At 46.3% G+C, this 13,325-nt stretch overlaps 1 protein-coding gene across 21 annotated transcripts in view, besides 3 other annotated features; it reads right to left on the reverse strand.

Moving 5' to 3' along the window:
* The window catches only part of CSAD (cysteine sulfinic acid decarboxylase), a 23,689-nt gene continuing 10,364 nt past the window's right edge, over positions 1 to 13,325 (reverse strand). For 9 of the 21 annotated variants that reach the window (XM_024449011.2, XM_047428957.1, XM_047428959.1 and 6 more), the window contains 10 exons: positions 12,761 to 12,840; positions 12,410 to 12,464; positions 7,054 to 7,093; positions 3,611 to 3,727; positions 3,465 to 3,529; positions 3,101 to 3,182; positions 2,458 to 2,657; positions 2,225 to 2,276; positions 1,961 to 2,050; positions 1 to 1,022 (listed from right to left, as the gene is read on the reverse strand). In XM_024449011.2, coding sequence (XP_024304779.2) covers positions 849 to 1,022; positions 1,961 to 2,050; positions 2,225 to 2,276; positions 2,458 to 2,657; positions 3,101 to 3,182; positions 3,465 to 3,529; positions 3,611 to 3,727; positions 7,054 to 7,093; positions 12,410 to 12,464; positions 12,761 to 12,840 — 955 coding nt within the window. In that variant the 3' untranslated portion in view covers positions 1 to 848. Of the gene's footprint in view, positions 1,023 to 1,960; positions 2,051 to 2,224; positions 2,277 to 2,457; positions 2,658 to 3,100; positions 3,183 to 3,464; positions 3,530 to 3,610; positions 3,728 to 6,719; positions 6,832 to 7,053; positions 7,094 to 12,409; positions 12,465 to 12,760; positions 12,841 to 13,325 lie in introns of those variants that run through there. The other 12 variants (XM_024449012.2, NM_001244705.2, XM_047428961.1 and 9 more) reach the window with 5 other exon arrangements.
* Positions 891 to 1,391: an enhancer, noted in NCBI's record as "H3K4me1 hESC enhancer chr12:53552337-53552837 (GRCh37/hg19 assembly coordinates)". NCBI's record gives its function as "activates a minimal SCP1, AML or CMV promoter by ChIP-STARR-seq in primed H9 embryonic stem cells {active_cell/tissue: H9 hESC(primed)}" and the evidence as "EXISTENCE:reporter gene assay evidence [ECO:0000049][PMID:30033119]".
* Positions 1,765 to 2,392: an enhancer, noted in NCBI's record as "H3K27ac-H3K4me1 hESC enhancer chr12:53553211-53553838 (GRCh37/hg19 assembly coordinates)". NCBI's record gives its function as "activates a minimal SCP1, AML or CMV promoter by ChIP-STARR-seq in primed H9 embryonic stem cells {active_cell/tissue: H9 hESC(primed)}" and the evidence as "EXISTENCE:reporter gene assay evidence [ECO:0000049][PMID:30033119]".
* Positions 7,726 to 7,889: a silencer, noted in NCBI's record as "fragment chr12:53559172-53559335 (GRCh37/hg19 assembly coordinates)". NCBI's record gives its function as "represses an EF-1alpha promoter that drives an FKBP-Casp9 reporter gene in an ReSE screen in K562 erythroleukemia cells {active_cell/tissue: K562}" and the evidence as "EXISTENCE:reporter gene assay evidence [ECO:0000049][PMID:32094911]".

The raw sequence follows: 13,325 nt of genomic DNA on the forward strand, positions 1-13,325 counted from the left end.
TGCAGTTGAAATTTTAACTTTATTATTTTCCTATTACAAAAGCAACACATATTCATTACATAATAAAAGGGAGGGAGCTCAAAAGATATAAAGAAGTCTATGTTTTTTTTGTTTGTTTGTTTTTTTAAAGGAGTCTGTTTTAAAATTGCCTATTATCCTATTCCAGGGAAAACTATTAACATTTTGCCATATTTCATTTTATCAGTCTTTTCCTATGTATTTTTGAACACAGCTCAAATATTACTCTATATAAAGACTTGTATTCAGCTTTTTCAACATAAATTACATTAAAGTTATTTTTATGTCAATAAAAATTATCTTTGTAAACAAAATTTTAATGGCAAAATAACATTTCATCATATAGACATACTGTAATTTATTTAAACACTCTCCTAAAATCAAATATTTAGTTAGGAGAAAGTTAGTAGGTCAAAGCATATAAACATTGCGCAGGTCACTGTGGCCTAAAAAGGCTGTTCTTTTTTATTTTTTTTGGAACAGAGTCTCGTACTGTTGCCCAGCCTGGAGTGCAGGGGTGCAATCTCGGCTCACTGCAACCTCTGCCCCCTGGGTTCAAGCAATTCTGCCCCAACCTCCTGAGTAGCTGGGTTTACAGGCACAGGCCACCATGCTCGGCTAATTTTTGTATTTTTAGTAGAGACAGGGTTTCACCTTATTGGCCAGGCTGGTCTCGAACTCCTGACCTCAAGTGATCCACCCGCCTCGGCCTCCCAAAGTGCTGGGATTACAGGCGTGAGCCACTGCACCCGGCCTCAAAGGCTGGGAGGGAATGCAGTGACTCTGCGGGTGAGGGGTGGTATCAAGGCCGGCAGCAAGACAGAGAAGGCTCACAGGTCCTGGCCTAGCCGCTCCAGCTCGTTGAGGAGGAAGTCCATATCAGCACAGGTCAGTGCAGAGTTGGCCACAACCACACGGAAGAAGTTGCCCCGGGTCCCGTGGGGCTGGTAGCCAATCATCATGGAGCCCTCCTTCACCATGCGCTCCTTGAGCACGGGGGCCACCTGTGGAAGGGTGGAGAGAGATTCCAGCTGCAGCCTGGGTCGGCTGACAGGTAGGCTGGCTTCTTGTCCTGCCAGGCTTCCAGAGGTGCTTTTCCTTCCCACCCAGCCACCTTCTGGGGGTAGCACACCTTGCTCAGACCTTGACCTTGGCCTCAGTTTACCTTTCTGTCATATCTAACCTGCTTGGCCTTCGCTATCTTCTGCTTTTCTCCCCATTTCTCCTGTCTCCAAGAAATCTGTCCTGTGGGACATTTTCTGCCAAATCTTGACTTTCTCTTGATTCCTAACACTGCTTTAGTCTAACTTCAAGCCTTGGTCATCTAAGCCTTAGTCAACACCTTCTTCTCCCCTCTCTTAATTCCTGTAATATTTTTGATAATATTAATCTGTGCCCTGTGATCTAGCAAGTAATTTACAACACTGCCTTGAACACATTGCTTCCAAGTAGGTAACTCTTGCCTTATAATAACAACTCCATAAGGGCAAGAACATTTGTCCTTTCAGATCATCTGCAGCACCTAGTACCACTCTATCTTTAGGGACCAGGATATAACACAGCTCCTCGCCTCCAGATGGCACTTCTAGACTGGCTTTCTCGGGTTGCTGTGTCCCTAGCACGGGTAATAAGGCTTTTCCATGATCATTCTGCCTCATATCTGTCCTGGGCCTGAGTTCCCAGCCCAATTGCCAGCACAAGGCTCTGTGTACTACACACTGGTGACTTCTCTGACTTCTCCTGTAACACACGTCGCTGCTTCTTACTTCCCAGAAACATACCTTCCTCCCCATCCCCACCCCTACCGAAAAGAGAGCATCCACGCCTCAGAGCAAGAGACCAGCAAGGAGACCTGCCATGCCACTCCCAGCCAACAGGGGGCAGAAGCGCATCAGTTGCATCAGCTCCCTAACGGGTAAAGAGAGCAGCACAGCACGCCTACCTTTGACAGCCTTTCGTGGTAATCTGGACTCTCCTGCTTCCCTCGCAGGCTGGGGGGTACGAACCAGAAACACACATTGACAAACTCAGGCTGAGAGGAATGAGAAAGAGGAAGGTGTGAGCTGAGAAAGGGGGACCGTTTTCCCTCTCCCTGCCCCTTTCCCCTCTCCCTGCCCTTTTCCCTCCACTAGGGCTTTAGTTGGGGCTTGGGGGCTGCAAAAGAGCTAGGCTGGGGCAGGGGCCACAAAATAGAAAGGGGTCCTACCTCCATGACTAGCTCAAACCCTTCCCGCTTCTTCATTTCCTCCACCAGGTACCTGTGAACAGAGAGTGAGAAACCATAGGCGGGGAGGAAAAGCAGAGATCCAGACAGAAGAGGCCCACGTAGAATGAGCCACAGAGAGACCGAGAGAAAAGTAATCCCGGGAGCAGGAAAGAGGGAGGGGCATGGACCCAGGAGAGGGGAACAGGGACGACCCCCCACCTCCTCCCGCCTACCGGGCAAGGACAAAGGCCTGGTCGATGCGCCGCTCCAGCCCTTGATCGCCCTGTGCCTTCCACATGAGCCACAGCTTCAGACAGTCCACACGGCGGCCACACTGCACCACCTTGTCTCCCGTGTCCAGAGCCACATCGTAGAACTTGTCCTGCTGGAAAAGGTAGCTGGCCTGGGACCCATGGCAGCGCTTGAGCAGGTTCTGTGTGGGGGTGAGGAGATTGTCAGACCCTACCCTCTCCACCGAGGCTTTCCTCCAGGGCTGCACTGTGGGGGTCTTAGCTCAGGATACCCTCTTCTTTCCCTGGAGCCAGATGGCACTGCTGGGACGGCTGCCTGCTGGCTCCAACACCTTTCTTTGGGTTTCCTCCCAATACCCAGGGTTCTTCCCAAACTCTGATGGCAACCTCAAGCTAGAAACTCCAGGATACCTCTGACTCCAACTTCAAGCTGGAAACTTTTCTTTTAAGAGAGGCCACTGGGGGAGTGAAGGAGCCTAATACAGGTTAGGGTGGTAGCTGAGATGCAGCTTCAGAAGGGATGGTAAAGAGAATAGAGAAAGGCCTGAACTTTATCTAAGGTGGGATAGAGAAGGCAGAGCTCCAGAGAGAGGTGGGGCTGGTGCAGGGGCAGGGGCAGACCCACCGAGGTATCCTGGAGAAGAAGTGCAGAGCATTGCAGGCCTGCTGCGAGGAGCTTGTGGGGATTCCAGGCCACAGAGTCAGCCCTGGATGGGGTGGAGCAAAGGCAGGTCAGTGGCTCCTCCTCCAGCTGCCCAACCAGAGCCCTTCCTCCTTTTCCAGGTCCCCAGCAAAGGGGCTTTGGTCTCACCCTCACCCCAGCATCAGGAAGAACTGCCATGTCTGACCTCCCAGCTCCAATCAATCCTCTCTCCAGTCCCCCTCCCCTCAGCCTCCTACCCCAGCCATGTTAAACTCCCTAGTCCATGATGATTCTCTGGACCAATGGTTTGAAGGGCGGGATTTGGGAAGAAGGGGACTGTATGCACCTCTGGATCCCATCCAGGAGATGCCTGTGTGTCTGTGACAGCAGGACGCTCCCACCCCAGGCAGCCTGTGGAGCAGGAGGAACAACGTGGGCCTTGGCCTTGGCTCAGCCCACCCCACCGCACCCCCAAGCCGAAGTCCCACTCACATCCACATGCAGCCATAGCCCATGACGCTGGCACACATCAGCAATTGCCTCCAGGGGGTCAAAGGCCCCTAGCACAGTGGTGCCAGAGGTGGCACTGACCAGGAACGGCACAGCACCCTGTTGCCAAAATGTAGAGGGAGAAAGATGTAAAGTCATCTCAAAAGCTACTCAGAGCCTGATGCTGGGCCCAGCTCTAAGCTCTTTGCATGCCTAAAATGGCCCATTTCAACCTCACAACAATGTGTTACTGTCCTTTTTAATGTGCAGCCAGGGACACTGAGATTCAAAGATCCAAGCAGAAGCTGCAGAGATGGACTTCGAACCTAGGTTTTCATTTCCAAAGCTCATACTCTCAAAGAACTTGAATGTTTTACTGGAAGATCCAATGCTATTGAAAAAAAATTGAGTCAGGCATAGTGGCTCACACCTATAATCTCGGCACTTCAGGAGGCCAAGGCAGGATTGCCTGAGGCCAGGAGTTCAAGACCAGCCTGGGCAAAATAGCAAGACCCCATCTCTAAAAAAATTTTTTTGTTTAATTAGCCAAGTGTAGTGGGCATGCCTGTAGTCCCAGCTACTCAGGAGGCTGAGATGGGAGGATTGCTTGAGCCCAGGAGTTTGAGGTTACAATGAGCTATGATTTTGCCACTGCACTCCAGCCTGGGCAACAGAATGAAAGCCTGCCTCAAAAAATATAAACAAATAGGCCAGGCACGGTGGCTCACACCTGTAATCCCAGCACTTTGAGAAGCCAAGGCAGGTGGATCACTTGAGGCCAGGAGTTCAAGACCAGCCTGGCCAACATGGCAAAACCCCGTCTCTATTAAAAAATACAGAAATTATCTGGGTGTGGTGGTGCACGCCTGTAATCCCAGCTACTTGGGAGGCGGAAGCCGAGGCAGAGGCATGAGAATCGCTTGAACCCGGGAGGCAGAGGTTGCACTGAGCCAAGATCACACCATTGTACTCCAGCCTGGGCAAAAGAGCAAGATTCTGTCTCAAAAATAAATAAATAGGCTGGGTACGGTGGCTCACACCTGTAATCCCAGCACTTTGGGAGGCCGACGCGGGTGGATCACGAGATCAGGAGTTCAAGACCAGCCTGGCCAAGATGGTGAAACCCTGTCTCTCCTAAAACTACAAAAATTAGCCAGGCACAGTGGCAGGCGCCTGTAATCCCAGCTACTCAGGAGGCTGAGGCAGGAGAATCACTTGAACCTGGGCAGCAGAGGTTGCAGTGAGCCAAGATTGTGCCACTGCACTCCAGTCTGGGTGACAAAGTGAAACTCTGTCTCTAAATAAATAAATAAATTTGAATAGTACAAAAGTTTATGCAGAAATTGAATTAGTAATTTTTAAAACTACTACAGCTGGATGTGGTAGCTCATGCCTGTAATCCCAGCACTTTGGGAGGCCAAGGCAGGAGAATTGCTTGAGCCTAGGAGTTCAAGACCAGCCTGGGCAACCTAGTGAGACCTCACCTCTACAAACGAAAAAAAAATACATAGGCTGGGCGTGGTGGCTTATGCCTGGAATCCCAGCACTTTGGGAGGCCGAGGCGGGCGGATCACCTGAGGTCCAGAGTTCGAGACTAGCCTGACCAACATGGAACAACCCTGTCTCTACTAAAAATACAAAATTAGCCAGGCATGGTGGCACATGCCTGTAATCCCAGCTACTCTGGAGGTTGAGGCAGGAGAATGGCTTAAACCCGGGAGGCGGAGGTTGCTGTGAGCCAAGATCACGCCATTGCACCTCAGCCTGGGCAACAAGAGCAAAACTCTGTCTCAAAAAAAAAAAAAAGAAAAAAAATAGACAGGTGTATAGGGGTGCACTCCTATAGTCCCAGCTACCTGGGAGGCTGAGGTGGGAGGATCACTTGAGCCTGGGAGATCAAGGCTGCAGTGAACCATGATTGCACCACTGCTCTACAGCCTGGTCAACAGAGTGAGGCCCTGTCTCCAAAAACAAACAAAAAAAATCTACCACAGTGGGAGTCTGAGGCAGGAGGATCACTTGAGCCCAGGTGGTCAAGGCTGCAGTGAGCCCTGATCGTGCCACTGCACTCCAGCCTCAGCAACAGAGCAAGACCCTGTCTCCATTTTTTTTAAGTTAAAAAGAAAAGAAAGGCCCAGGCAGAGATGGCTTTGCTGATGAATTCCATCAAACATTTAATGAAAAATTGGTAACAGATCACAAACTCTTCCAAAAGACAGAATATACAAAAATCAATTGTATCTCTATACACATTAGCAATGAACAATCTAAAAATGAAATTAAGAAAACAATTTCATTTACAAAAACACCAAAAAAGAATAAAATACTTAATCTATTTAACAAAAGAAGTATAAAGCATATACTCTGAAAACTACAAAACACTGTGGAAATTAAAGACCTAAATAAATGAAAATATGTTTCATGTTGATGAATGAACACAATTCCTATCAAAATCCCAGTTGCCCTCTTTGCAGAAATGGACAAGCTGATCTTAAATTCATATGGAAATTCAAGAAACCCAGACTAGCGAAAAACAATCTTGAAGAAAAGAACAAAGTTGGAGGACTCACACATCCTGATTTCAAAACATACTACAAAGCTACAGCTGAATCAAGACAATGTAGTCTACAGGATAGACATGTAGATCAGTGGAACAGAACTGAGAACCCAGAAATAACCCTCACATTTACAGTCAAGTGATTTACAACAAGGATGCCAAGACAATTTATTAAAGAAAGAATTGTCTTTTCAACAAATGGTGTTGGAACAACTGGATATCCACATGCAAACAATGCAGTTTGAATGCTTTTCTCACATCACACCCTCAAATTAATTCATATTGGATCACAGGCCTAAATCCCAGGGCTAAAACTATAAAACTCTTAGAAGAAAATATAGGAGTAAATCTTTGTGAGCTTGGATTAGGTTAAATATAACACCAAAAGCAGAAGCAACCAAAGAAAAAACAGATAAATTGGACTTCAAAATTTAAAACCTTTGTACTTCAAAGGACACTATCAAAAAAGTGAAAAGTCCAATAGCAAAGACATGGAATCAACCTAGGTACCCACCAACAGTGGATTAGATTTTTTTTAATGTGGCATATACAAACCATGAAGTATTATGCAGCCATAAAAAAGAATGAAATCATGTCCTCTGCAGCAACATGGATGCAGCTGGAGGCCAGTATCCTAAGTGAGTTAACACAGAAACAGAAAACCAAATACCACATGTTCTCATAAGTGGGAGCTAAATACTGAGTCCACATGGACAGAAAGATGGGAACAAAAGACAGTGGGGACTATAAGAAGCGGGAGGGAGGGGAGAAAAGGTTGAAAACATACCTATTGGGTACTATGCTCACTACCTGGGTGATGGGTTCAATCGTGCCCCAAACCTCAGAATCACAAAATATACCCTTATAACAAACCTGCACATGTACTTACTGAATCCAAAATAAAAGTTTCAAAAAAGTGAAAAGTCAACCTAGAGAATGGAAAGAACATATCTGAAAATCATATATCTGATAAGGGACTTGCATCTAGAATATATGAAGAACTCTTACAACTCAGTAATAAAAAGACAACATAATTTTTTTAATGGGCAAAGGATCTGACTAGACTTTTTTCAATAAAGATAAATAAATTGCTAATAAGCACATGAAAAGATGCTCAACCATCACTAATCATTAGGGAAATACAAATCAAAACTACAATGAGTTACCACCTCACACCTATTAGGATAACTACTATCAAAGTAACAGAAAATGAGGGGATGCATGGCTCATGCCTGTAATCCCAGTACTGTTGAGAGGCTGAGGTGGGAGAATGGCTTGAGCCTAGGAGTTTTGAGACCAGCCTGGGCAGCACAGCGAAATGGAATTTTGGTAGAGATGTGTCTCTACCAAAAATAATTTTTAAAATTGGCCAAGTGTGGCAGCCTGTGCCTGTGGTCCTAGCTCCTTGGGAGGCTGAGATGGGAGAATCATTTGAGCCCAGGAGGTCGAGGCTGCAGTGAACCATGATCGCACCACTGCACTCCAGCCTGGGTGACAGAGCAAGACCCTCTCTCAAAAAAAAAACAAAACAAAACAGAAAATAACAAGCGTTGGCCAGGCGCGGTGGCTCACGCCTGTGATCCCAGCACTTTGGGAGGCCGAGGCGGGTGGATCACAAGGTTGGGAGATCGAGACCATCCTGGCTAACACGGTGAAACCCCGTCTCTACTAAAAATACAAAAAAAAATTAGCTGGGCGTGGTGGCGGGAGCCTGTAGTCCCAGCTACTCGGGAGGCTGAAGCATGAGAATGGTGTGAACCTGGGAGGCGGAGCTTGCAGTGAGCCGAGATCACGACACTGCACTCCAGCCTGGGTGACAGAGCAAGACTCCATCTCAAAAAAAAAAAAAAAAAAAGAAGAAGAAGAAAATAACAAGCGTTGACAAGGATGTGAATAAATTAGAACCCTTGTGCACTGCAGGAATGTAAACTGGTACAGCCACTATAGAAAACAGTATGGCAGTTCCTCAAAAAAATTCAATAGAATTACCATATGCTCCAGCAATTCCACTTCTGAGTATACACCCAAAACACTGAAAGCAGGGTCTCAAAGAGATTCCAAACAGCAACCCAAACAGATAAATGGATAAGCAAAATATGGCATATATGTACAATGAAATATTATTCAGCCTTAAAAAGGAAGAAAATTCTCACATGCTACGACGTGGATGAACCTTGAAGACATTCTGCTAAGTGAAATAAGCCAATCGAAAAAGACAAATACCACCGGGTGCGGTGGCCCATGCCTGTAATCCTAGCACTTTGGGAGGCCAAGGCAGGCAGATCACAAGGTCAGAGTTTGATACCAGCCTGGCCAACATGGTGAAACCCCGTCTCTGCTAAAAATACAAAAAATTAGCTGGGCATGGTGGTGCGCACCTGTAACCCCAGCTACTCAGGAGGCTGAGGCAGGAGAACTGCTTGAACCCAGGAGGTGGAGGTGGCGGTGAGCCGAGATCGCACCATTGCACTCCAGCCTGGGCTACAAGAGCGAAACTCCATCTCGAGAAAAAAAAAAGAAAAGAAAAGACAAAGACAAATACCGTGTGATTCCACTTATATAAGTACTTAGAGTAGTCAAAGTCATGGAGACAGAAAGTAGAATGGTGGCTGCCAGGGGCTGGAAGAGGGGGTAATGAGTTGTTGTTTGATGAGTATGGAGTTTCAGTTTTATAAAATGAAAAGAGTTCTGCTGGGTGTGGTGGTTAATGACTGTAATCCTAGCATTTTGAGAGACCAAGGTGGGCAGATCACTTAAGGCCAGGAGTTCGAGACCAGCCTGGCCAACATGGCAAAACCCCATCTCTATTAAAAATACAACTAGCCAGGTTTGGTGGCGAGGGGCCTGTAATCCCAGCTACTCAGGAGGCTGAGGCACGAGAATCGCTTGAACCCAGGAGGCAGAGGCTGCAGTGAGCTGAGACTGTGCCACTGCCCTCTAGCCTGGGGGACAGAGTGATACTCTGTCTCAGAAAAACAAAACAAAACAAAACAAAAAAACAAGATGAAAAGAGTTCTGGAGACTGGTTGCAAAACAATGTGAATGTATTTAACACTACTGAACTGTACATGTAAAAATGGTTAAGATGGTAAATTTTATGTTACACACACAAAAAAACAAGTAGAACTGGCAGCAGATTCTCAACAGAGACTCTACTGGCATGTTGGGTGAGTCAGTTCTTGTTCATGTAGAGCTATACCTGCTCATTACAAAAATGTTTAGGATCCCTCTTTCCCTCTCAATAAACACAGTAATGCCCTCTGGCTAGTGTCACAAAACAAAGCAAAATAAAACAGTTCCACACACTTCAAATGCCCACTTGATGACTAGGAGAGTGGGGGTAGATGGCAGCACCAGCCCCAAGCAAGTATCCATGGATGAGGAAGACTACAGGTGGGGTGGAAACAGTCCAGGCAAAGGGGGGAAGCTGCTCCAACTCCATATCTTCAATTCCAGAAATATCCCGTGGCCTCTGCACATACACAGAATCTTCTTGTCTACCCAAAGGGGCACCACCTAGTTCATTTCTTTTCTCCCTTCCAGTCTCAGCTCAACCATCCCTTCTGAGGGAAGCCTTCCCTGACTCCTTCACCTCCTGATTAGGTCAATTCTCCTGTATTCTATGCTCAAAGAGCACAATGTACCTCACCTTCATAGCACATATGCAGCATTTTTACATATATTTATGAATGTCAGTCTTCCTTACTGGAATAAAAATTCTATGAAAAACAAAATGGGTGAAGGATCTGAATAGACATTTTTCCAAAGAAGATATACAAATGGCCAATAAGTACATGACAAGATGCTCAATATCATTAGTCATCAGGGAAAATCAAATCAAAACACAGTGAGATCCCACTTCACACCCACTAAGTGGTATAATCAAAAAAAGATATGACAAGTGCTGGTGAGTATGTAGAGCAATTGGAACCCTCACACACTGCTGGTGGGATTGTAAACTGGTGCAGCCACTCTGGAAGACAGTCTGGCAGTTTCTCAAAAGGTTAGATACAGAGTTACTATATGACCCAGCCAATTCCACTCCTAGGTATATAACCAAGATAAATGAAAACGTATTTTCACACAAAAATCTGTATACAAATGTTCATAGCAGCATTATGCATAAGAGCCCCAAAGTGGAAACAACCCAAATGTCCATCAACTGATGAATGGATAAATAAATGTGGTATATCCATTTAAGGGAATATTATTTGGCCATAAAAGAAGTGAAGGGTTGATACACGCTACAGGTTGGATGAACCTTGAAGACATTATGCTATGTAAAAGAAGCTCATCACAAAAGGCATGCATAATATGATTCCAGAATTCACAACAGGCAAATCTATACAGACACTAAGTAGATTACTGGTTGCCTAGAACTGGGAGCTTTGGGAGAATTACAGAGGGATGGCTAAAGGGTATGGGGTTTCTTTAGGGGGTGATAAAAATGTTCTAATACTGATTGTGATGATGTTTGCACAACTCTGCAAATATGCTAAACCACTAAATAGTACCCTTTAAGTGGGTGAATTATATGTTAGGTGAATTATATGTTATGTGAATTATATATCAATAAAACTATTACCAAAAAAGTTTCTATAATAAAAAGAGAAACATCACTATTCTAATTGCTGCCCTTACTGCTACTCAGAGGTAACATCCATATATCAATAATATATACTCTTCTAAATAACAAAAATGGGCTCATAGGGCTCATAATGTCCATTCTATACGGCAATTTGCAATAAATATTTAATATATACAGTGGAGATACTTTCATGTTAGTATATATATTCTCACCTATTCTTTTAAATGGCTACCCAGTACTCTAATAATAGTAATAAATAATAATAACAACAATACCAGTAGCTTGTATTTATACAGTGCATCTATGTGCCAGGAACTATTCTAAGTGCTTTACATATACTAATTCATTCAATCCTTACAATAACCCTATGTGGCAAATTCTATACTCTGTCCATTTTACAGAGGAAGGAACTAAGACACATAGATATACCATAATTTATTTTGTCTACTAATGGACATTTAAATTTTTTTTTAAAACATTTATGGCCAGGCATGGTGGCTCACGCCTATAATCCCAGCACTTTGGGAGGCCGAAGCAGGTGGATTGTTTGAGGTCAGGAGTTCAAGACCAGCCTGGCCGACGTGGTGAAACCCCATCTCTACTAAAAATACAAAAATTAGCCAGGCGTGTTGATGCACACCTGTAATCCCAGCTACTCAGGAGGCTGAGGCATGAGAATCACTCGAACCCGGGAGGTGGAAGTTGCAGTGAGCCGAGATCGTGCCATTGCACTCCGGCCTGGGTGACACAACGAGACTCTGTCTCAAAAAAGAAAAAAAAAATGGCCGGGTGCAATGGCTCATGCCTGTAATCCCAGCACTTTGGGAGGCTGAGGCAGGCGGATCGCCTGAGGTCAGGAGTTTGAGACCAGCCTGACCAACATGCAGAAACCCCATCTCTACTAAAAATACAAAATTAGCCAGGCCTGGTGGCACACGCCTATAATCCCAGCTACTTGGGAGGCTAAGGCAGAGGAATCACTTGAACCTGAGAGGCGGAGGTTGCAGTGAGTCGAGATCACGCCATTGCACTCCTGCCTGGGCAACAGGAGTGAAACTCCATCTCAAAAAAAAAAAAAAAATTTTTACATTTATATTTATTTATTTATTATTATTATTTTTGAGATCACACCACTGCACTCCAGCCTGGGTGACTGAGTGAGACTCTGTCTCAAAAACTATTAAAAAATAAAAATAAATAAAATTGTATAGATGGTGCCAAAATGCCCTCCAAGGTGGCTGTAGCAGTTACATACCCCTCGAAGTAGAGGAGAGTGCTAATGTCCCCTCATCCCCACTACTCACAGCCTTCACCAGTGCCTCTCCCCTCCTCAGCCTCTCCCTGCGCAGACCCTCACAGCCCACAGGAACCTTCCACACTACAGCGCAGGCCCCCAGCACCCTCCCTGTGGTGCTGCCTGGGACTCGCTCCCTCACTCAGCCCTGCCTCTCAGAATCCAACCCGGCGTAGGTGTCTGGGCAGAGCCCCAGAAAGCAATGTAGTGTCCTCACCCCCAGGCTCTCCATGGTCACTTCAGCCCACAGGGGAGATGGGCATGGAGACGAGAGGGATGAAGGATGCCTTGAGAAAGGAGAGCCCAAATAACCCTCCAAGACAGTTGGAGGCTATATCACCCCAGCGAGCCTCACTGACTCACCTCAGCCTCGGCCATACCAATCTGCCTCTCCAGATCCTCGGGGACCATTTTCCCTCTGAAAAAGAAAATGCAGAGGGTAGAGCAGGGACAGGTTCTCTGTTGAAGGCAGGGTAAGGTGGGGTTAGCAATGCAGAGACAACAGTGCTAGTTTTTCCCTCAGGGGGTGAAACAGATCTCAGGGCAGAGGTGGGAGACGCTGGCAGGCTCTGGTAGACAGGAACAGCAATTCTACTGAATAGCGAGGGGAGAGAGGTCCACCAGCGGTAAGGGTCTGATGCCAGAGCTTTCTGGCGGCAGGAAGTTACGCTGTGCAAAGCTAGGTCACAGCCATGTGGGCAGAAGGACCTTCACCTCTCATCAGCCTTGACCACTCGGACACTGTCGGTGCCAAGTCCCAGAAACGCAGCTCCCTTCTGGATGGAGTAGTGACACTGTGGGGGAAGGCAGAGGGCAAGTTAGCACAACTTGATGGGGGAGGGGAGAGAAGGTAAAAGTCAAGTGTGAGCTCCAACAAATGGGATCCTGTAGACCAGGGCTTCTCAAATGTCAGCGTGCATACGAATCGCCTGGGTGTCTGGTTAAAATGAAATGCAGGTTCTGGTCCACTAGGTCTGGGGTCTAGGGTGGGGCCCAAGATTCTGCATTTGTTTGTTTTTTTTTTTTTTGGAGACAAGAGTCTCCCTCTGTCACCCAGGCTGGAGTGCAGTGGTGTCATCTCGGCTCACTGCAACTTCCGCCTCCCAGGTTCAAGCAATTCTCGTGCCTCAGCCTCCTAAGCAGCTGGGACTACAGGTGCCCACCACCATGCCTGGCTAATTTTTTGTATTTTAGTAAAGAGGGGGTTTCACTATGTTTCCCAGGGTGGTATCAAACTCCTGAGCTCAGGCAATCCACCCACCTCAGCCTCTCAAAGTGC

The sequence above is a fragment of the Homo sapiens genome, chromosome 12 (genome assembly GCF_000001405.40).
Source record: "Homo sapiens chromosome 12, GRCh38.p14 Primary Assembly".
Lineage (NCBI taxonomy): Eukaryota > Metazoa > Chordata > Mammalia > Primates > Hominidae > Homo > Homo sapiens.